The sequence below is a fragment of the Homo sapiens genome, chromosome 5 (genome assembly GCF_000001405.40).
Source record: "Homo sapiens chromosome 5, GRCh38.p14 Primary Assembly".
Lineage (NCBI taxonomy): Eukaryota > Metazoa > Chordata > Mammalia > Primates > Hominidae > Homo > Homo sapiens.
The window spans coordinates 168,705,479-168,727,725 of NC_000005.10; the positions used below are offsets into that span (position 1 = coordinate 168,705,479).

At 46.3% G+C, this 22,247-nt stretch overlaps 1 protein-coding gene and 1 long non-coding RNA gene across 4 annotated transcripts in view, besides 2 other annotated features; one reads left to right on the plus strand and one right to left on the minus strand.

The window, feature by feature from the left end:
• Positions 1 to 22,247, minus strand: part of SLIT3 (slit guidance ligand 3) — a 639,400-nt gene that overhangs the window by 43,739 nt on the left and 573,414 nt on the right. For 2 of the 3 annotated variants that reach the window (NM_003062.4, XM_017009779.1), the window contains exons 21-26: positions 18,938 to 19,006; positions 17,455 to 17,526; positions 16,778 to 16,849; positions 6,805 to 6,876; positions 5,417 to 5,580; positions 2,498 to 2,622 (exon numbers count right to left, since the gene is read on the minus strand). In NM_003062.4, the coding sequence (NP_003053.2) occupies positions 2,498 to 2,622; positions 5,417 to 5,580; positions 6,805 to 6,876; positions 16,778 to 16,849; positions 17,455 to 17,526; positions 18,938 to 19,006 (574 nt within the window). Of the gene's footprint in view, positions 1 to 2,497; positions 2,644 to 5,416; positions 5,581 to 6,804; positions 6,877 to 16,777; positions 16,850 to 17,454; positions 17,527 to 18,937; positions 19,007 to 22,247 lie in introns of all 3 variants that reach the window. The other variant, NM_001271946.2, reaches the window with a different exon arrangement.
• On the plus strand, positions 1,449 to 15,406 carry SLIT3-AS2 (SLIT3 antisense RNA 2). Its single transcript, NR_130737.1, has 7 exons — positions 1,449 to 1,789; positions 2,959 to 3,169; positions 4,577 to 4,722; positions 6,807 to 6,902; positions 7,202 to 7,293; positions 12,591 to 12,707; positions 14,461 to 15,406. It is a non-coding gene; the product is annotated as an SLIT3 antisense RNA 2 (long non-coding RNA).
• Positions 6,634 to 7,833: an enhancer, noted in NCBI's record as "P300/CBP strongly-dependent group 1 enhancer chr5:168139117-168140316 (GRCh37/hg19 assembly coordinates)". NCBI's record gives its function as "activates an origin of replication core promoter dependent on BRD2, BRD4, P300/CBP, MED14 and CDK7 cofactors, with strong dependence on P300/CBP, by STARR-seq in HCT116 cells {active_cell/tissue: HCT116}" and the evidence as "EXISTENCE:reporter gene assay evidence [ECO:0000049][PMID:35650434]".
• Positions 15,523 to 16,067: an enhancer, noted in NCBI's record as "H3K4me1 hESC enhancer chr5:168148006-168148550 (GRCh37/hg19 assembly coordinates)". NCBI's record gives its function as "activates a minimal SCP1, AML or CMV promoter by ChIP-STARR-seq in primed H9 embryonic stem cells {active_cell/tissue: H9 hESC(primed)}" and the evidence as "EXISTENCE:reporter gene assay evidence [ECO:0000049][PMID:30033119]".

Here is a 22,247-nt window from a genome sequence, read left to right on the forward strand (position 1 = left end):
CCATCATCAACACCATCACCATTGTCACCTTTGTCATCATCACCGATACCATCACCATCATCACCTTCACCATCATCATCTTCACCATCACCATCAACATCATGCACCCTAGACCTGCCTGGGCTCAACACTTTCCTCAAGATCAAAATCTCTGTTCACATTCTTCTAAAATTGACATGATGTTCAGAATCTTGAGAACAAAGTTCAAACAAGTGGCCTTATCCTGCAGTAGCTCTGAAGATACTCTCTTTGCTCTGACACTGACGGTCAGGTCATGCTTCATAGTACAGTCAAGTGTAGCTGGAAGAAGCCTGGACTTCAAACCCAGCTCTACTACTTTCAGACTCAGGCCAGTTTTAAAGAGAAGGAAGCAAGAATCAGAATGTGAAACAGTTTACCTTATCTTTAGAATGGGGATGATACTACCCATCTCATAAGCTGATTATAAAAATCAGAGAAGAAAATAAATGCATAAGCTCCAGATGAGTGCCTGGCCTTTATTGATGATTCAAAAGAGAACTATACTATGTATGGAATTGAGAATGTTACAAATGCAGTCACAGTTCTAGGAGAATGACTGAAGTTTCTTGGCAGTTCACAGTGCCATAGACTGATAATCCTGGATCAAACTAGCAACATACCACCTGTTACTGATGGCCTATTCCACACCCAGGTATGAGGGACCACCATGCAAGGGTAAAGGTGAAAGGCAGCAGTATGCCAGCTTATTGAGTGCTCACTGAATGCCAGGTATCATCCTAGTGTATTGCGTACATTACTGTACATTTGATTCTTACGGCAAACCTATGAGACAGGTCCTAGTTTGCAGCTGGGAAGACAGATGAAATTACTAGCAATGGCTACACAGCTAGTAAATGACAAAGCTGGAATCCACACCTGCTTCTCTGTGTAATTGCACAGTCTGAATTTTCTCTGCTGAATCCATACAAGGGAGTTTGAGAGGATCCACACATCCTGAGTATGTCTGCTGTTAATCTCTATTCTCCCCTCCTATTATTTTTTTTGTGTGTGTGGGTGCCCTGTGACTGAATTTATAACATTCTCAATTCCATACATAGTATAGTTCTCTTTTGAATCATCAGTAAAGGCCAGGCACTCATCTGGACCTTATGCATTTAGTCTCTTCTCTGATTTTTATAATCAGCTTATGAAATGACGGTGTATGGGTCTGGGACTCAGTGGTAAGTTTAAGACTTTGGAGGTGGCTGGCTTCAAAGGGAATCCTTTGGCTCTCTTGTCCCAGGCCCATAGGTGGCACTCTGACACCATCTGCTAGAAGCACAGCCATCGTCTAGAAATACATCAGGTAGTCCCATTCCCCAGAATGAGGCTGCCTCTAAGCCTGTCACTACGCACACACAATCCCACTGGGGGCAGAGACCTGGGGATGCCAGCTCACTCTCACTCCACCTGCATCAGATGTGTGCATTAGACAGGCTGTGGGGCTGTCCTGAAACTCTGCGCTTGCCCAGTGCCTTTGGATGGGTGCCCTGGGAAGGCTGGAAGCTGGGCGGGCCCTGCAGAAGAGGATGGAGCCACAGCTTTGCTGATTCCAGTGAAGCCCAAGGAAGGGCTCAGCTATCCAGGAAACCCTCCAGGGGAAAAGGATTGGGTTCTGGAATCACAAAGCCCAGGGTCTTAATCACAGCTCTACTGCTTACAAGCTTCGGACATTGAGTTGAACTCTTGACAGTCTGAGGCCCAGTCTCCATATCCGTAAAAAGGGAATAATGAGGCCTTCTTAGGTTTGCTGGGGGTGTTTGAACAGGTGAGTAAAATGCCAAGCACAGTACTTGGCACAGTCTGTACTCGGTAGGTGCTGGTGAGAGGCACATGGTCGATATCCACAGGGGTCAGCAGAGGGGCATGACACCGTGCTCTGGGTGAAAGAAGGAAGGACTGTCTTGGAGGTAGTCTGGGAGGACAGAGGGGAGAACTGGGATCTCATCCTCTTGCTGGCTGATCTTAGCCGATCAACCTTTTGGGTGAGTTTGCAGCCCCTAGGCCTTTCAATCCCCAATCCCTATATTTACATCAAGCTGGAACCAGCACTTTCAAGGCTGGTTGCTCTGAGGGTGGGGTTTGGCAGGGGCATGGTGGGGTGGAGGTTCTGGAAATCCCTTTAGAAGGGAAATTGGGAGAGTGGGCTCAAGGGATGCCTCTACTTGGAAACACTTTTTCTCTGAGACTTAATTTCTCCATGTTTCACAAAGAAAATACAAATGTTACATTTCCTCTTTCTCTCTGGACATCCTTGTCAAGACCATATGGGGGCCTCTCTGACTGGCAGCTCCCGCTAGTTCAGAGAACAGTGTTACTGGCAAATGCTGCTTTGGAGTGGTGACCTGTGCGATGGACTCATCCAGGCTGTCCCTTGGAGAAGGGAGGGTACGCAGGGCATGGTGCCCCTCTCTAGGGCCAGGGCTGAAGGAGGAGCCTGAGGCATGAACACGGGGGGGCAGGGCCTCCAGCATACCTTGTAGCTGTAGGGGCAGGCACAGCGGTACAGCTCCACAGGGTCCTGGGTGCATGTCCCGTTATTCTTGCACGGGCTGGAGAGGCAGGCATTGCATTTGGCCACAATGTTGATGTCCACTGGCCCTGGGCAGCAAAACCAGAGTACTGATGGCAGGTCCTGAGTGCGCTCACTGCCATACCTCCCTTCCCCTCTGCTCTGGGCCCTCCCTCAGCCAGCGCCAGCCCCTTCCCAACTCCATGCCCAGATGGCAGCTGGCTCTCCTCAGCCAGCACATCCAGTCCAGCTAGAGTCCCATTAATTCAGCCACTGTCCAGTGAGGAAAAATCACAGTGGGACATCATTCAGAAACACTTCTGCAGTCAAATCAATTACTGTAATTAGCCTGATCCGATTTTGGTGCTAATCTGCAAACAATGCACCATAATTAGAAACCCCCTGTGTATCTTTTCATATTCCAGGAAGCTCTGGGCCCAGGCTCCATTCGGACCTCCCATTTTTCTACCCACAAACACCCCTCCCCATGGAATAGTCTGTGCCAGGCTAAGCAGGGCACAGTGCTTGGGCCAAAGGCACACAGAGGAAGTCCCCCCTGGAAAACCTTGGAAGAAAGAAATGGATGGCCCCAGAGGACACAGCGATGATGCTGACAATGGACAGAAAACTGCTCAGGTACATGTTACGTCTGTGACCGTTTCAGCCGTGTGCTTGCTTTAGCTGCGAGCACTGGAGGGAGGTCAGGGTCCTTCCCAGAGCTTTGCAAAGGGGGCTGTGTCCTGCTGCTGCAGCCAGCTTTGACAATGAGCCCTGGATAAACAGGCCATATTTAGTGTCAGGACTATAAATGACCTTGGGGTTAACAGTTATCAACTTGGAGATGGGCTGAGATGAACTTCAGTGAGTGACTGTTTGTGGATGAGTAAAAAGAATGGCCTGATTGAGAGCTGGTACCAGGGGCTCAACCCGACTTCACATTAGAAGAGGAAGACTATCTGTCTTGGTTTGCTTGGGGCTGAGGGGGTTTGCAGGACACAGAGCTTTCAGTGCTAAAACCAAGAATGGCCCAGACAAAACCCAGATGACTTAGCTGCCTTACACTACCAGCTACAGTGTTGTTTTCTGTTTGTTTTTTTTTTTTTTTGAGATGGAGTCTCACTCTGTTGCCCAGGCTGGAGTGTGGTGGTGCAATTTCGGCTCACAGCAACCTCCACCTCCTGGATTCAAGCAGTTCTGCCTCAGCCTCCCAAGTAGCTGGGATTACAAGCATGCGCCACCACACCTGGCTAATTTTTGTATTTTTAGTAGAGATGGGGTTTCCCCTTGTTGGGCAGACTGGTCTTGAACTCCTGACCTCAAGTGATCTGCCCGCCTCAGCCTCCCAAAGTACTGGGATTAGAGGCATGAGCCACCGTGCCCGGACCCTGGCTGCAGTGCTTTTAAAAGTCCCCACACCCAGGTTGTACCCCAGACCAATTTAATCTAAACCTAGAGGGTGGAGCCAGGCTTCAGTAATTTTAAAAGCTCCTGTATGATGTCCAAATGTGCAGCCAAGATTGAGACCTATACTGTTCTTGGCCTAGGTGAGCCTCTTTAGTATCAGATCAGATAGCTTAGAAGCAGGAGGAGGAAAATTAAAATTAGCTTTAAGCCAATGGAATGTTTTTCTGCTTGCAGCAGAAGTGTAGGACACACTAAAGTTTGAGAGGGTAATTAAAGTGTATCTATATATCAAAATAAGTATTAAGCCTCTCAGAGATGAGCAAAAGAGATTATCAAACAACTGTGTATACAAATGAAAAGTACGTTTTTGATGAAAAATTCAGGTTCCCCAATAATCAAAGACAAAATAAAAGGAGTTTTTTTTTTTTAACCTATTGAATTAGCAATGAGAAAATAAGAGAAAATAATGAGAGTCTAATGAAAAATGCAACCAAAGGATGCTACTGGGAATGTAAATTGGTTATAACCCTTTTTGAAAATCAATTTGGCAAAATGTGTGAAGACCTTAAAAATAATAATGTACTTTGATTCAGTAATTTCTATTCTCTGAGTCTTATCTGAGGACATGATTTCAAACAGAGAAAGATCTTTATGTGTCAATGGTAAGACAAAAAAATGGAAATACTCGAAAGATTCAAAACCAGAAATGGATTAAGTGGCAGTGGAGTATTATGGCTTGGTGATAAAGACTGCGCATTCTGGAATCAGATGGACCTGGAAGCCTGGTAAGCCTCAATTTTCTCATTTTTAAAAATGAGGATAATATTAAAAGTTGATCACATAGAGGTATTAGAGAATTAAATAAGTTGTTACATGAAGAATGAGAAGAAAATACATGAGACAGTGCTTACCATCATTCCTGTTGCATACAAACTCAGTAGTAGTTTGTTGTTATAATATGATCAATAAAAAAATCACATGTACAAAAGTTTGCTGGATAAAATGGGAAAATGCTTATGTTTTAATAATGTTGGATTAAAAAATGCAGGTTGAAGATTTTTCTCAAGGCCAGGTGCAGTGGCTTATGCCTGTAATCCCAGCATTTTGGGGGGCCAAAACAGGAGGATCGTTGGAGATCAGGAGTTTGAGACCAGCCTGTGCAACATAGTGAGACCTTGTCTCTACAAAAGATGAAAAAAAAAAAAAGATATTCTCCACTATGGAAAGACATGTACAGAAAGAAGTCAGTGAGGAGATGTGTGGCAATGCCAGCAGGGAACTTGGAGAGAATGACACTTGGCCCATTAGATGAGGGTTCACATCAGCGTCAGCATCTGAGCCTCTTTGTGGGACCCATGGAAGAGACAGGGTGAAGGTTTCTGAAGCCACATCTGTTGAGATACCCTGCTCTGACAGGTTGCTGGGAACACAGCAGACCCCAAGAGGGGCAGGGGAGGGTGGGGTGTGGGCGTCACCTACCTTTGCACTGGAAGCGGTGGGTTGGGGTGGTGAGCAGGAGCCTGTCAGCCATGGGCTCAGGGCTACTGCAGCGGGCGATGCCAGGCTCCTTGTACCCCGCCTTCACCCACTCCGACAGCCACCGAAGACTGCAGTCACAGTGGAGTGGGTTGGTTCCCAGCGCCCTAGGAGGCAGAACAGGAAGTCAGGGCCCCCTGCCCAGCTTGGCCAGTAGCCTTCATATCCTTGGCTCTCTGGAAATGCATTTTCAGACTTTGGCTAGACTGGAGGTATCCAATATGGGGCCAGCGGAGTAGTCGTCTCCACTGTGGCAAAGTTAATATCTCCAGAGTGTACTTCCAATCCTGTGGAAGTTTCAACTCCCATCCCAGCCCCTTCCACTTCTGAGGCGTGGCTCTCACCTACGCAAGTAAGACTCACTCTTCAACTCAACCCCATCCTAGCTCCTTTAGGGAGCTTCCTGGATCACTGGCCATCTGATTATCTGGTTCCCTTGCCCTGTTGAAGGGTCCACTGGAGGATATACTCTGCAGAGAAGGTTCTGAAACCCAGCAACCTAGGGAGCAGCTTCAAACCACTTGGCTAGACTTTCATCCCAGTTGTGACTGGGACGAAAATACTAGAAATTCTGTTTTTTTTTTTAAATTATATCCTTTAACAATTCTACTTTTGAAAGTTTTAGAATATGCATACGTAGTATATCCGTATTATAGTGTATGCACACATTATGAAAATAATTAAATATGCATATAGAAGGAATACAAACTCGAAAATGTTCACTGACAGAGGTGTATAAAAAAATGTAGAGATTCCTGATCTGTGGAAGAGAGGTCTGGCCTGGGAGTGAGGGAATCTAGATTCTAGTCCAACATCTCACTGACCTGATAGTCAAACTTTAGCTAGTCACCTAATATTTATGGGCCTCAGTTTTTCCTGTGTAAAATAAGAAGGGAATACCTGTTGCAGAGTGCAAAGTGGTTAAGAATATGTGCTTTGGAGTCAAGGCAAACCTAGATCTGATCCTGGGCCCTGCCATCTGCTAGCTGTGCCATGCTTAGACACAATGTTATTATATATAATAAAAGGATAAAAATGCCTTACAGTTGTAAGAAATAAATAGAAAACTTATCTAAAGTGTTTACCCCATAGTACATGTTTTCTATTAGTTCTTATTAAATATTTACAGTGTTTACATAATTGAGGATTCCTTTGAAGGCTTCTGAGGTGGGAAACAAGACAATATGCATAGTGTGGATACATAGTTGTATAATATACTGTATGCATAAGGAAAGGACATCTGCCAAAATGCTGACAGTGATGACATTGTCGCTGACACTTTCATGCTTTCATGTTTTGAATGTTCATTGGGGAGAAACACTGCTACTTACAGATGGGAAAGAGATGTGAGGTCGTTGAAGGAGCCTTCAGGAACGCTGGAAATGTCATTGCCATGGAGGGTTCTGAAGCAGAGGGCACAGGTCGGAAGGTTAGCATCCACTAATTTGAATTTAGCATATTCTCAGGGCCTCCAGTGCCTGGCCCTGCCACCCTTCAGTTTTGCTCAGAGCCCCACTGCTCCTAGCAGTAGCTGCTGCCCCCTTTGCTCTGGGTGCATGAATGTTCTATGCCCAGCTCAGCAGCAAGGATGGAGGGAGTAGAGGGTTTGCGGAAGAAGGGGGTGGACTTTTCAATCTGATAGACCTGAGGCGAAATCAGAAACCAGTCTCTCTTAGCCGTGGAATGCTGGATAAGTTACGTCACTTTTCTGGGCCTTCATTTTTGCAGCTGAGAAAGGAAGAGACCCAAGGGAGTTACTGGAGTTTCAGAGATCATATGAAGAGCTGTGCTTAAGACCGGAAGTTCTGGAGCCAGGCTGTGTGAGTCAAACCTGACTTTGTCGCTTACCAGCTGTGTGACTAAGGGCAAAGCAATTTACCCTCTCTGTGCTTCAGCCTCTATTGTAAAACAGGTATGAGAATAAAAAGGCTTGCCACGGAAAGTTGTCATGGGTGTGTTAATCCACGTAGAGAGAGCCAGCATTTTCTAAGTGCTAAATGACTAATCAATATTAATATTTGTGAAAGAGTCTTGAAGGGTATCTGTATCAAGGAGGTCAGTAAATTAGTTTCCTTCGTATTTACCTAAAGAGATCTTAGGCACGTTGAGAAATGCTACCAATCCCAGCTTTGGTGACAGAGGGAGGGGGTCCTCAGCTCCCGAGGAGAGTCTCTGGAGCCGAACACTCATTGTTATGGAAACGGCTTTGGCATCAGCCACACACATACACGAGTCTGGCACTTGTGTGCACCTGAGTGCATCTTCCCACAGCACGTTGGAGGGGCCGGGCACCCCACTTGGTATTAATCATGCCTCTCTCCACCCTGTGGTGTAGGCAGCTAGGAGCTATTCTCACTTACACAGTGGTGCCATATACTAAGCCTTCCACAAATGCCTGGAGGATAGGTGCATGAAAAACCTCAATGAACACTGCTCCGTGCTCAAGTAGCAACACGAGCAAATCCACAACGCATGGATTATATTCTCCATTAAAGGATTAATCATCAACTGCATAAAAAAATCTGCAAATTAATAGAAACTCAAAGGCTTCTTTAGTGACTGATGGGCACCATCACCTGTGTTGGCAATAATCACCCTTCAGGGTAAGGACTAACAACTTTATTGCAGGCAGTGAGTCCTAGTAGAACAAAGAGACGATTAGTGTTGACAGTGGAAGTACAGATGGAATAATAACGAATGAATTTGCTCTTCTTCTCCCTTCAACTGAAGTTAGCTTGCCCTTGGTCTTCAGCTGACAGAGACATGAGCCTAATTACTCTTGATAGAGAACAGTGGCTCTCACACTGAGTGAGCTTTGGAAGCTAGTGAATATGCAGATTCCTGAGCCCCACTTCCAAAGATTCTGATTCAGTGGGTCTGAGGTGAGGCCTGAGATTCTGCATTTCTGACAAACTCTGAGGTGATGCTGACGCCAGTAGCAAGGGTTTAGAAAGGTTTCTCCTATTGCTTTAAGGCAAGGCCCTTATTTCTCTCCTCTTCCCATATAATCTGCTCTTCTCTTTCTCCTCTTAGTTACCCTCCATTGATATCCTCATCACCATCAGCTCCTTCTCCTCCCACCTCACAGTTCTCTGGTGAAATTCTCAGGGTGAAAGTGAGCCTCAGTGCTTAGGCAGCTAGGACAGCAGGAAGATGGCAAACAGCCATCTAGAGTGTTCACGATAGCTTCTCACCTCCCCGAGTAAGGAAGAGCTAGAAGCACTTCCTAACACTTTTATCAGCATCATTTAGCCTCTAGTTCATGAGGTTATTTATGAATCATACCAGCCCCTGCCTGCATGGCTTCATGGCTGCTTGCTGTTTTGCATAGGCACCCAGCTTTATTGTTAGTCATTTCCAAATGAGGCCTGGGCCCCTGGAGAGGCATGAGGCCTAACTTTAAAACACCGAAGGACCCAAGGGCAGCTTTAGCATTGTGACACCTGCAAGTCAGGCTCCATTCTCTACTAAAAATACAAAAATTAGCCGAGTGTGGTGGTGGGCGCCTGTAATCCCAGCTACTCAGGAGGCTGAGGCAGGAGAACTGCTTGAACCCAGGAGGCAGAGGTTACAGTGAGCCAAGATTGTGCCATTGTACTCCAGCCTGGGCGACAAGAGTGAAACTCCATCACAAACAAACAAACAAAAAAACCCTGCAGAGTAACAGGATTATAATTTACTAGGACAACTCATTAAATCCGCCTACACTGCAGGTTCTCCATCCTGGTTTGGCCCCCAAAGAAGTACTCTTGCCTGTCAAACAACCATCCTAAAGGATGCTAGAGAAGTGGGAGAATGAGTGCTCCTTCCCCTTTCTCCTCCCCTTCTCCCTGATGCCTCCCAGCGGCTGGGCTGGCAAGCAACTGTCAACTCTCAGTGGCTCATCTTCAAGCACTTGGAACTCCTCCTCTTTGCCTAACTCTTAGGGGATGTTAAAGGCAAACTTAAGAATTTCAGAATGCAGATGAGGGCACCATCAGGGCAACATTAGGGCATAACCATTCCTTAGTTCTGGGCTGCGCGAACCTTGGGTCTCTGAACCCCTAGGTCCTACGGTTAATACAATAAACAGTGGGAACTATCCTCATTCTAAATGTGGGTGTGGGTGGGTGAATTCTCTTCTGAGCAGGCTAAGCTATTCCCAGGTGATCTGGGGGTTAAGAACCCAAGGCTCTGGAGTCAGACTGCCTGGGTGTGAATCCCTCGTCTGATACTGGCTGTGTGAGCTGAGACAATTGACTTTTGGTTTCTCAGATTTTTTGGTTTCTCAGATATTTTGGTTTCTCAGATATTTTCATCTCTAAAATGGAGGAATTCTTAGTAACTACATATAGTAGACATTTTTAGGGGATGTGGGTTTCTCAGCATCAATGCTGTTTTCTGTAGCCGTTCCTCTGTTTTCTACTGGGGGTTACCCCTCCCCACCTCTTGGTCCCAGTGGTTTGGCCTCTGTATGAACCTATGGCTCAGGTCTGGCCAATCAGAGTCACAGTGATTGGTGTGAGGTTGAGCATGCAACCTAAGGGAGCCAAGGAGAGACACTTCTGGGGCTCTCTCTGGAACGATGAGGGCAGAAGCAGTTTAATTTTGTGGGGCTGCTAAGCTGCTAGAATGTAAACTTTCAGCCCATCAGGACCCTCTGTGTCTTAAATAGAGAAAGACTGCCTGAGAATGAAATCCACTTAGGAAAACAGGGCGAGAGGCAGAGGTACATTTTATTTTTTATTTTATGATTATTTTTGAGACAGTCTCACTTTGTTGCCCAGGCTGGAGTGCAGTGGCACGATCTTGGCCCACTGCAACTTTTGCCTCTCCGGTTCAAGCGATTCTCCTGCCTCAGCCTCCTGAGTAGCTGGGATTACAGATGTGCACCACCAGGCCTATCTAATTTTGTATTTTTATTAGAAATGGGGTTTTGCCATCTTGGCCAGGCTGGTCTTGAACTCCAGGCCTCAGGTGATCGACCTGCCTTGGCCCCCCAAAGTGCTGGAATTACAGGCATGAGCCACTGCGCCCAGCCTACATATTTCTTTTTCAGACAGAGTCTCACTCTCTTGCCAAGCTGGAGTGCAGTGGCATGATCTTGGCTCACTGTAACCTCGACCTCCTGGGTTCAAGCGATTCTCCTGCCTCAGCCTCCTGAGTAGCTGGGACTGTAGGTGTGCGCCAGCATGCCCAGCTAATTTTTGTATTTTTTTAAATTTTAGTAGAGACAGTGTTTCACCCTGTTGGCCAGGATAGTCTCGATCTCTTGACCTTGGGATCTGCCCACCTCAGCCTCCCAAAGTGCTGGGATAACAGACACATTCTGACAGTATCATTGCAGTACCTGCATCCAGCCCTAGAGCCCGGTATCTTCCAGTGCCTTCTTCAGTTATCTGAGTTGATAAATTCTCTTTATGCTTAAGGTGGTTTGAACTGATTTTCTTCCTCTTTGCCCAGGAGGAAAGCTAATATACCACTTCATAAGCTAGCTGTAAGCATTAAAAGACCAGATGCCAGTGGTTCAGAAGCACTCAGTCACATTAGCTATGATGATTGTTATCACTGTCATGACTCCTCCTCTATGTTTTTGAGTGGATTTTGGGGCCAGTCCTCTGGGAGTTACCCACATAGGGTAGAAGCCTGAAAGTGTGCAGCTTGTATGTCTCAAAGGCCGTGGTGAGTCCTGTGACCTGATTCCAGGACTGCAGAGGAGACATTGCATCTTGGCAGAGCGGTCAGCGCCTGTCCCCTTTCTCTCTGCATCTTCCATTTCATCCCACTCCTCAATTCCCATCAGAGGCCTCTCTGGGTGAGGAAGAAAATGCCTCATTTTTACATAGGCCAGCTCCCTCCAGTCTGAAATGGGTGCAGATAAAAACAGATGCTAGCCTGCGATGGGGAAGCAGGTAGAATGTGGTAGAAAGAGCACTGGGCTAGGAGCCCAGAGGTGAGTCCCAGCCTTGGTTCTGCCTGTGCCTTGGGGCTACTCAGCAGCATCTCTTCCCACTCCTGCCCCCAGAAGCCACATTGCAGCCACACCTGTAGCTTCTTGTGATTCCCCCAGTGCATATGCCTTTCCTGACTTCAGGGCCTCTGTCCAGGGCATTTATATTCTCCCGGCCTAGAATGTTCTTCACTCCCATCCCTACTTAGGTAACCCCCTCTGGTTTCTCAGTCTCAGTCCTGGAAGCACAAGTTAAGAGGAGTGATTCTGAAAACAAATAGTCTTGGGTTTAAATTCCAACTTTACTACCTACTGATTGCATCACTTTGGGCAAGTTACTTAATCTCATTCAACCTCTATTTACTGATCTGTGAAATGGGGATAACAGCGGTATATCCTTCACAAGGCAGAGGGTGACTAAGATAACATAACTAAAGCACTTAGCCCTTTGTGCAGCACATAGTCACGGTTTGATGAATGTCAGTGCTGATTATTAACCTTCCTTTCAGAAAGCCTTTTGGGTGGCTAAGACTGGGTTAGGTGCCTCTCACTTGTATCCCCATGGCTCTTCTTTCAGGTATCGCCTTGTGTTGTAGTTGCTTATTTACTTATTTCCCCTTCTAGACCAAGAGCTCCCTGAGGGCAACAATTGTGTCTCATTCACTGTTTGCTTTCTTTCCCCCTCCAGAGTTAAGCACAGCAACTAACCGGTAGCAGGTATTCAGGAAAGGATGAATAAGACAATGATCTTGAACAAGTCACTAAACCTCTCTGAATCTGTCTTTTCTTTTTTTTTTTGAGACCGAATCTCGCTCTGTGGCCAAGGCTGGAGTGCAGTGGCGTGATCTCTGCTCACTGCAAGTTCCGCCTCCCAGGTTCATGCCATTCTGCTGCCTCAGCCTCCCAAGTAGCTGGGACTACAGGCACCCGCCACTACGTCCGGCTAATTTTTTGTAGTTTTAGTGGAGACGAGGTTTCACCATATTAGCCAGGATGGTCTCGATCTCCTGACCTCATGATCCACCCGCCTCGGCCTCCCAAAGTGCTGGGATTACAGGCATGAACCACCGTACCCGGCCTGTCTTTTCTTCTTATAAATGAAACGTTTGGACAGAAAAATTTTCAATATTCACTCTTCAATCCTAAATTCTGCAATTAAACTTTTGTTTACTTATTTTTATTTTACAGATGTCAAAGTGCCAACCCTGGACCATGGTTGGGAGGTCACAGTGAGTCACCTTCTGGCTCAGCAGAAGAATTTTCTGATGCTCTAATAGCTGGTCAAAAGTGGAATAGAGTTGCCTGGTAAGGGAGTGATCTCTTTGTCTCAGAAGGTAATCAAGCAAAGGGCTCCCTTACAGGGATGTTTTAAGGAGAACTCAGGCAATTGGTAGAGCAGTGATGAACAGCCCCGTGGGTATAAACAGCACAATTCTTACTTCGGGGACTAGGAGCTAAAGATACTGAGGATGGTGAATGATAATCCCACTGGCTCCTTCGTGAGCACACACTGAAATTGCCTGCCCAGAGCTAACTGATTCCAGGTGGCCCTCCTGCGACTGGGGCAAGACAGTTGGGACCACACGCATACAAGGCATGTGACTTGGTGTGGAGCAAAGATCAGGGAATGCATGGATCCCCTAAGATGGATGAAGATGTCCACAAGAATGTTCTCTTTTCGCTATTTTCAGATTCGGAGCCAAGTAGAAAAAGCATTTTCCACACAATGTTTTGTACTCAGGGCTAAAAGACCACCCTCCTGTTGTGCTCTCCTGAAATGTATTCATATCCACCCATACACACACACACACACACACACACACACACACACACACACACACACACACACATTCTCTCTCTCTCTCTCTTTCTCTCTCTCTCTTAAATGTCAGTTTTCTCTTCCTGCTTTCCAGATCACTTTTTGGCCTTTGTCTACGCCCAAACTAAACCTTGATGCTCATTCTTCTTGCTGCCGCAAACACCCAACATCTCTGGGTCTCTGGTCATTTCTGAAAGTTTAATTAAAAGAATGAAACCCCTCAGAAATGAGGAAAGAATATACAAATGTTCAAATGCAGTTGCAGATAATGTAATTCCTGATTTTAAAAAGCCAATCTTTCTTCCAACTCCCTCAGTTGTAAATATGTTACCATCTTCATTCATCTTTATTGATTTATTATTTCTTTTGAAACAAGGTCTTGCTCTGTGTTACCCAGGCTGGAGTGCAGTGGCTCAATCACTGCTTACTGCAGCCTCCACTTGCCTGCCTCAATTGATCCTCCCACCTCAGCCTCCTGAGTAGCTGGGACTACAGGCACACATCACTATGCCCGGCTAATTTTTGTATTTTTAGTAGAGACAGGGTTTCACCATATTGGTCAGGCTGGTCTTGAACTCCTGACTTCAGGTGATCCACCCGTCTTGGCCTCCCGAAGTGCTGGGATTACAGGCGTGAGCCACCATGCCCGGTCTTCATTCATCTTCAACTTTGCCTTCATTTGTTATAGAAATGACTTTATATAAACACTAACTATCACAATTTTTTTCATTTGCTCTCTTACAGTCTTTCTTCATAGGTATAAATGTTTACAAGTTATAATTGTAACATATATACAAGTTAGGTTTATTTCTCCATGTAACGCTATGTGATAAGCACTTTCCCACATTGCTATCTAGTTTTCATCTTTGCCTCTTTTAATAATTGTACTTCATTGACTGGTTGCCTCATGGTTTCCTTAAACATTTCCCCACTGTGGCCCTTGTAGGTAATACTTAAAATTTAGGTTAAAAATAACAGTACAACAAAGATTTTAATGCACAGAATCTTCCCTCATTTTGGATGATTCTTTAACCTAAATTCCTAGGTGTGTAATTAGTGGGAGAAAGGACATTTTTACTTTTCCTGAATTGGCCCTTAGGCAGAAAATGGTTGCTCCCCACTGAGGTAGATGGTTGGACTGAGGTGCTCTAAGATCCCTTTTTATGCACAAGATCTCATGATTCTAAAATGATGATGCTAAAAGCCTATTAATTCTCTTTTTTTTTTCTTTTGAGACAGGGTCTGGCTCTATTGCCCAGGCTGGAATGCAATGGCGTGCTCTCAGCTCACTGCAACCTCTGCCTCCCAGGCTCCAATGATCCTCCCACCTCCGCCTCCCAAGTAGCTGGGACTACAGGCGCATGTTACCATGCCTGGCTAATTTTTTGAATTTTTTGGTAGAGACAGGGTTTCACTATGTTGCCCAGGCTAGTCTTGAAGTCCTGGGCTCAAGCAATCCTCCCACCTCGGCCTCCCAAAGTGCTGGGATTACAGGTGTGAGCCACCATGCTGGGGCAAGCCTACTAATTCGTATTTCAAGAAGCAAGTGCTAGCGTGTTGTATGGTTACGTGTACCGCTGATGAACTCATGGCAGTAGTAGTGCCAGACTGGGACAAATGATGCTGAGGAAAGAGAAAACCCTGGTCAGGCTGGTGGTGTTCACCCCATCACCCCCACCACCCCAAAAGACAGACAGATGGACGGGCAAACATTTTCTCTCCCTCTTACATATTGAGTTGCCCCAAACATCACTACTCTAATTATGAACAGATGCATGCAGATTCCTTAAAATTGGCAGGTCCCACCTCCTGGCAGTGAACCCACACACGGAACTATTAGACTGGGATGGAAGACAATAGGTTGGGATTGAGGGGGAATGGTAGGAGAAGGAAGGGGGAGCAGGTCCGGCTTCAGCCCTGGCCAGTGATACGAGCCCATCTCCTGCTGTGTTCAACTGGAAACAGGGAAATGGTTGTGCTGATGTATCCATTCTCAAACTCCCCAGAGAAGGTGGATAATAAATAAGTGACAATAACAGATTGCACACTGTCAGCGCGGGCACTTCTTTGCCCCCAGAGAATTGATTTTTAATAACAGCGCAGATGACATGTGGCGGGAGTTGTCACTGACACCGGTGTTTTGTGGGCCTCAATAAATCACATCAGCCTGGAGGCTCTGAAATGGACTAGCTTGTTGGGTGCTGTTTGTGGATTGCTACTCGGCCCTGGAATGGCTCCCGGGTCCCAGGAGGCTGGATTCTGCAACCTACTGACTGCTAGACCTTGGCCAGTTACTTCACCAGTCTGGGCCTCAGTTTCTCCATGTTTAAAATGGGCAGAACTGTCTTGGTCTCACAGCAGTGTTGCAAAAGGTTAGACGAAGAAAACTGTCCCATAAAATATGTTGATCACTATTATAGTAATAATGATCTAGAAAGTCAGGAAGTTGATAGGTTTGGGGGCGGAGTATCTGGCATCTCTGTTTTCATGAATAGCATTCAAGGGTGATATTCAAAGGACCAAAGGAATTCAAAGGAATGTGCTAATAAAATAGAAGCAAGATGGGAAGGCACAAAAATCAGGTGTTAATCAGGCCCAGGATTGGGGGTGGTGGTGGGGTGCCTTCCTGCCCTAGCAAGCTGTGATATAAGAATAATAACAAGTGAATATTTGTTAAGCATTTACAGTGCCAGAGCTGCACTAAGTACTTCATATACAGTATCTCATTTAATCCTCATAAGACCCTGTGAGGCAATTACCATAATTATCTGATTTTATGGATGAGAAGACACTCAGCTACCCATGTGTAGGACAGGGCCAGGCAGGCGAGGAGAGTGGGCCGGCTGTGGAGGCTGCAGCCTGCACAACTCTGTTTAAAGGGGCAGGGCTGCTCAGCCATGCAGGAATGCAGGGGTAGGGCCCTGGTACGGCCAGGTCTCTCAATTTTCCAAAAGAATATAGAGAGTGGGATTTGTGGAAGAAATCTGATATTTAAATGTTGACAGCTTATTAAGCTTTGTGTTCTTAAAAAGACACTCTATGAGCCAACCCCACAATTGCTAACTAATAGCTGTCTGTGAGCTGGACGGGGGCCCTGGGTTTCCAGCTTGTGATCTCTGGGGTAGGAGCTGTTTCCATGCAGAGGTTCACCATGCTGCATTGCCCCTCTGAGGAAACAACTGTCAACAGAATGATCATCGAAACGTGGCTATGACCACACACTATGCTCAATACTAGAGGGTAGAATACAATTGCATATCCTAATCCTCACAAAGGAGGTGCTATTGATCCCATTTTACACATAAAGAAGCAGAAAGTTGAAGGGGCTCAGTGATTTGCTCAAGGTTCCACAGTGGTAGTGCGCTGGACCCTGGGAATGGCAGACTCTCAAAGGTAGCTCTCTCTACTCCACTGAGCAAATAAGGGTGCTGGGTAGGAAGGTGTGTTTGGGGGTGGAGTGGGCTTTGGGCAGAGAGTGGGGAAGGGGAGTGCTTAGTCTGCTTCCTGCTGTCACTCAGCAATGTGTAAGTCAAAATCAGCACATTGGGGTACTCACAGCACTCGCAGGGACCGCAGCCCGTTGAAGGCGTGGACGGGGATGCACCTCAGCCGGTTGTAGCTCAGGATCCTGTGGAAAAGGAGGCATGTGCCCTGTTGTGTCTTTCTATTCTCTACCATGCATAGGTGCACTGTTCACGTTGTGAAACAAAGCAAATGGTTTATCTTTTCAATGTTGATATATTGACAGAACATCCCCTAAAGGGACAAGAAACCTCTTCACCAATCCAGGAAGCGCACTGGCTTTATTTCCTCAGTTTACTCAAGTTCTGTGGCAGGCTGGCTTTCTAACCAGCTTGTTCGTCACCTCTCTCTCCTGTCCAATGATGAGTACTCACAATGTGTAAAGCTAATGGGAAATAAATGGGTGTGAGCAAAATATAATTGTGTAGGAAAACCATTTCCGGGAAAGAAAATTCACAAACCACAAAAGGTATTCCTAAGACAGCCTTCTTCAGAAGCGACGAGGTTCTAGTTCCTCTCTAACTGCCTGGACAGTGGAGGGCTTCCTACTTTATCTTCCTTCTGATGATTAAGGTGTATCTTATGCTAGGGCAGCCATAGGCCTGAGGGTCATTAGGGCAGAGAAACTAGTCCTGCTGGGAGGGAGGGAAAGAGTAACCATCTACTGCTAGGCCCAAGGGCATGGTAAACACAGCATCTCAGTGTACTCACAGAGTGGAGAGGTGAGACATGTTACTGAAGGTGTAATTGGTCAGCATGCTGATGCTGTTGTTGCTCAGGTCACTAGGAAAAGTAAAACAGAGGGGTCATGCTTTTGTCTTAGTTGCATCTGTAGGAGGCCATTCCCAAGTATCACACATACCTGCCATCCACCCACTCATCTACCCATCCACCCATCCACCCACCTATTCATTAATTCACTCACTCATCTATCCATCCCGCTGCTGGCCTGTTTATCTACTCTCCTGCTCACCCATCCGCTTTCCCATCCATCCGTCCATCCATACATCTACCCACCCACCCACTTACCCATCTACCCCTCACATATTTATCATATTTATCCCAGGCAGTCACCTGCCTGCCTGCCCATCCATCCATCCCACCCTCCCTTCCTCCCTCCCACCATCCATCCACCCACTTATCTACTCACTCATCCACCCACTCATTCATCCAAATGGTCATTTTCAATTCAAACACTTATTCAATCATTCAAGCAACTGTCATTCATTTATCCATCTATTCACTTATGCAGCTAGTCAATCATTCAGTTACATGACTATTCATCCATTTCACTGTACCAACAAAATATGATACATATAATAACAATCTCTCCTTGTTTTAGTACTTTTTTCCCCTGATTAATTCTTTTCACTGTTCCTCTATCCCCCTTCTTTTCTGGCATTCATTTACTCCGTCTTATCAGGTTCTGTCTTAGGAGGACTGAGGTTGGTGGGGGTGCAGTCCTCTGCCAGCTGCAACCTCGAGCTTCCCTGCGGGGATAAACATCCAGAGCTGTGGCAATGTTAGCTGCACATTAGAATCACCTGGGGAGCTTTTAAATCCTCTGATGCCTGAGTTCCATGCCCAGGTATTCTGATTTAATTGGTCTAGCATGGGCTTGAGCATCAGTAGCTTGAAAAAAATCTGCTCAGGTGATTCCTCTAATCAGCTGATGGTGAGGACCATTGCTTTAGAGCAGTGATTCTTAACTGGGGGCACTTGTGCTCCCTCAGTGACATTTGGCAAGGTCTGAAGACATTTCTGGTTGTCAATACTGGGGTAAGTATTACTGGCATCTAGTGGGTAGAGGCCACAGATGTTGTTAAACATCCTATAATGTCTATGACAGCCTCCCAACAACGAATAATTAACCCCAATGTCCATAGTTCCGAAGTTGAGAAATCCTTATCTAGAGGCTGGTTTCAGGAGTTTATAGGAATCCATCCCACAGAGAGATGGTGTTCTTTCAGCTTTTCAGAGAAGGTCTCCTACTTTCCCAAGGGTAATGCTCTTTCATTCTGCAAGATCTCCCACTTTCCCTTTGCAGACTGGCTTCTGGTCCTAAGCAGACAGGCATCTTTCAATTACCACTTGCATCAGCCTGCAGCTCTGTTCTCTCTTACCATCCACTTCAGTTTCCTGAGCGACCCCAGCAGGGAAAAATAAACATCCCACCCAATACTGGGCTCCTTACATAAGCGTCAGGTGTCGGAGGGCGGACAGCTCTCTGGGCACGGCTGTTAGGTGGTTTCCTTCCAGGTACCTGAAAGAGGTGTGGAGAGACAACACCTGAGAAAGAGACACTGTACAAATTCTCACCTTTTCAGAGAAGCCTCCCTGACTTTCCAGGCTGGATTAGGTCCCTCTTTTACTCTTAGAGCCTCCCTCCCCAACTTCAAAGCATTACTATATTTGTCATTTAATATTTATTTGATTATCCAATGAATGACATTTTTTTCTCCACTGGACTTATACATTTCATGTTGGCAGGATTCTTGTCTAAAATTGCCCACCGTTGGATCCCCCCGTGGCTGTTTACAGAGCTGATACATAGTAGGTATTCAATAAATATTTGTTTAATAAATAAAGCACTCATTTTATACTCAGCCCTCAAAATATCCTTATGTAGCAGGAAGTCACAGTTGAAGAAAAGTTCAGAGATGTTAAAACACTTGCCCAAGGTCATGCAGCAAGCAAGTGGTTGAGCTAGGACTTGAACCCAGCTCTGACTGTAGTCTTACCACAATTCCACACTTAGCTTCCGGAAGCTGTTGGGAGAACTGAGCCAGGCATGATTAAGAACCCTAATTCAATGTTGACTATCTCTGATGTACATTTGGAAACTGAGGAAATGGGGGGCTATCTCTGTTGTTGGAGCACTGTACTACAGTTCCCAGCAGAAGGACTACATGGCAGGAGGGGACAGGGGTTCAGAGTGAGGTTGCACCCAACAGATGGGGACTCCTTCTGGACATGCAAAGGCTGAGCTAAGATCTGCCTGGACTTCAGCATCCTACACTGACCTGCTCACCTAGGATGAGGCCGCCTCCTTAGAGACTCAAGTGTGGCTTAAGATAAGAACGTCTCATTGTAATTATGTAATCATGAATTACAAAGGTTATTCCTACCTATAAATAAAAGTTAATGCTATCCTCAAGTGGGGACATGCCACCCTTGCTGTAAACCCCTTTCTCCAGGCTTTCTGTTGCTCTCAGGACAAAGCTGAAGAACATTTAAGATGGCTTACAAGAACTGCTTTGATCTCCTTGGTGATCTAAAGCTCCCATAGCATCCTCTCCTATAAGAGTCAACACATAGCCACTGCTGTCCATTTGTCAAGTGTCTGCCTTAAGCTCCATGAGGCTAGACCTAGGTCTATCTCTTGCTAGCCTGGTGCTTCTCAAACTTCAACATACATGCAAATCACCTGGATTTTGCTAGACCACAGATTCTGACCCTAGGTCTGGGGTAAGGTTGGAGAATCTGCATTTCTAATGAGCTCCTGGGTGATGGTGGTGACTGCTGGTCTGCAGACCACATTTTGAGTAATAAGGTGCTAGCACACTACCTGGTGTCCAGTAGACCTACCACAAAATGACTAAATGGGATAGAAATGGGTTAAAACAGAATATGGGTCAAGGTGTCAATGACTGAACCAGCCTTAGCTTTAAGGCCACATTGGAACGTGCATTATCTTTAATTGTTTAATTAAGACCAAGTAACTTTCCTCCTATGGCTGGCCCCTGGGGACTCTCATGGCACAGGGTGCTGGACTGGACCTAATAAGGTCTTAGGTGGCCATGGCATATTGGACTGATGTCCTTTTGCTTTGATCCTCGATTGTGTACACATTATGGGCCAAGAGCTATGCTAGATCCTGGGAGAAATACAAAGATGAACCAGATTCCATTTCTGTCTCAGGGAGCCTAAAATTCAGTCATGCACATGCTTAGATTGTGCCCTCAGACAGAAAAGCCAAGAGAAATGCATTCATTCATGCATGCATTCATTCAAGCCCAAGTATTTATTGAACGATTATGATGTACCAAGTATCGTATATACTGGTGAATAAGAGCCATAATTCCTGCTTTCAGGCAATTAAAAATCAAATATAGGTGGAGAGGGAGGCAGGGAGGGAGAGGGAGGCAGGGAGGGAGAGGGAGGCAGGGAGGCAGAGGGAGGCAGGGAGGCAGAGGGAGGCAGGGAGGAAGAGGGAGGCAGGGAGGGAGGGAGAGGGAGGGAGGGAGAGGGAGGGAGGAAGGGAGGGAGGGAGAGGGAGGCAGGGAGGGAGAGGGAGGCAGGGAGGGAGGGAGGGAGGGGAGGGAGGGAGGCAGGGAGAGAGACAGTGCATACAGGAGAGCAAGCAGGCAGATGTATAAAGAAATATAAATTATGAATTGCAATCTGTGCTTTCTTGGGAAGGAGCAAGGAAACACCAAGGGGCTTACTGCAGAAAGATGCAGTTGAAGAGCCAGGTGTGGTGGCTCATGCCTGTAATCCCAATACTTTGGGAAGCCGAGGCATGTGGATCATTTGAGGTCAGGAGTTTGAGACCAGCCTGGCCAACATGGTGAAACCCCCCTCCTAAAAATACAAACAAAACAAAACAAAACAAAAATAAAAACAAAAATACAAAAAATACAGCTGGATGTGGAGGCACATGCCTGTAATCCCAGCTACTCAGGCGGCTGAGGCAGGAGACTCGCTTAAACCCAGGAGGCAGAGGTTGCAGTGAGCCAAGATTGCACTACTACACTCCAGCCTGGGCGACAAAGCAAGACTGTGTCTCAAAAAAAAAAAAAAAAAGAAATATGCTGGCTGGGCACGGTGGCTCACTCTTGTAATCCCAGCACTTTGGAAGGCTGAGGCAAGTGGATCACTTGAGGCCAGGAGTTTGAGAGCAGCCTGGCCAACATGGCAAATCCCTGTCTCTACTAAAAATACAAAAATTAACTAGGTGTGGTGGTGCATGCCTGTAGTCCCAGCTACTAGGGAGGCTGAGGCAGGAGAATCATTTGAACCCAGAAGGCCAAGGTTGCAGTGAGCTGAGATGGTGCCACTGCACTCTAGCCTGGGCAACACAGTGAGACTCCGTCTCAAAAAAAAAGAAAAAGAAAAAAAAGGAAGATGCACAGCTGAGGAGGACATATTTTCAGATGAGGATTGGTAGGTGAAAAGGGTGAAGACTTGGAAAGAGCAGGGGAGGTGGAAGAGTCTGGCAAGAATGCAGCCTGTGGACAGTCCAGAGCTTGAGTTCCAAGGCAGAGAAGGCAGGCTGAGGGGCTGAAGTCTCATGGGCCTGGAGAGGACAGTGGGAGACAGGGTAGATCACGCTGAGGCCTTGGAGATTATTTTATTCAAAGCACAATGAGAGGCCATGACTGCAGACAAGGGCAGAGGCTGGTGTTGCAGAGCTTCCTCAGGCCTCTCATCTGTACTCACCCTCTGCCCTCCCTGCATGAAAGGCTGTGGGGTATTTGCATTCTGAGTGAATGCTTGCCCTA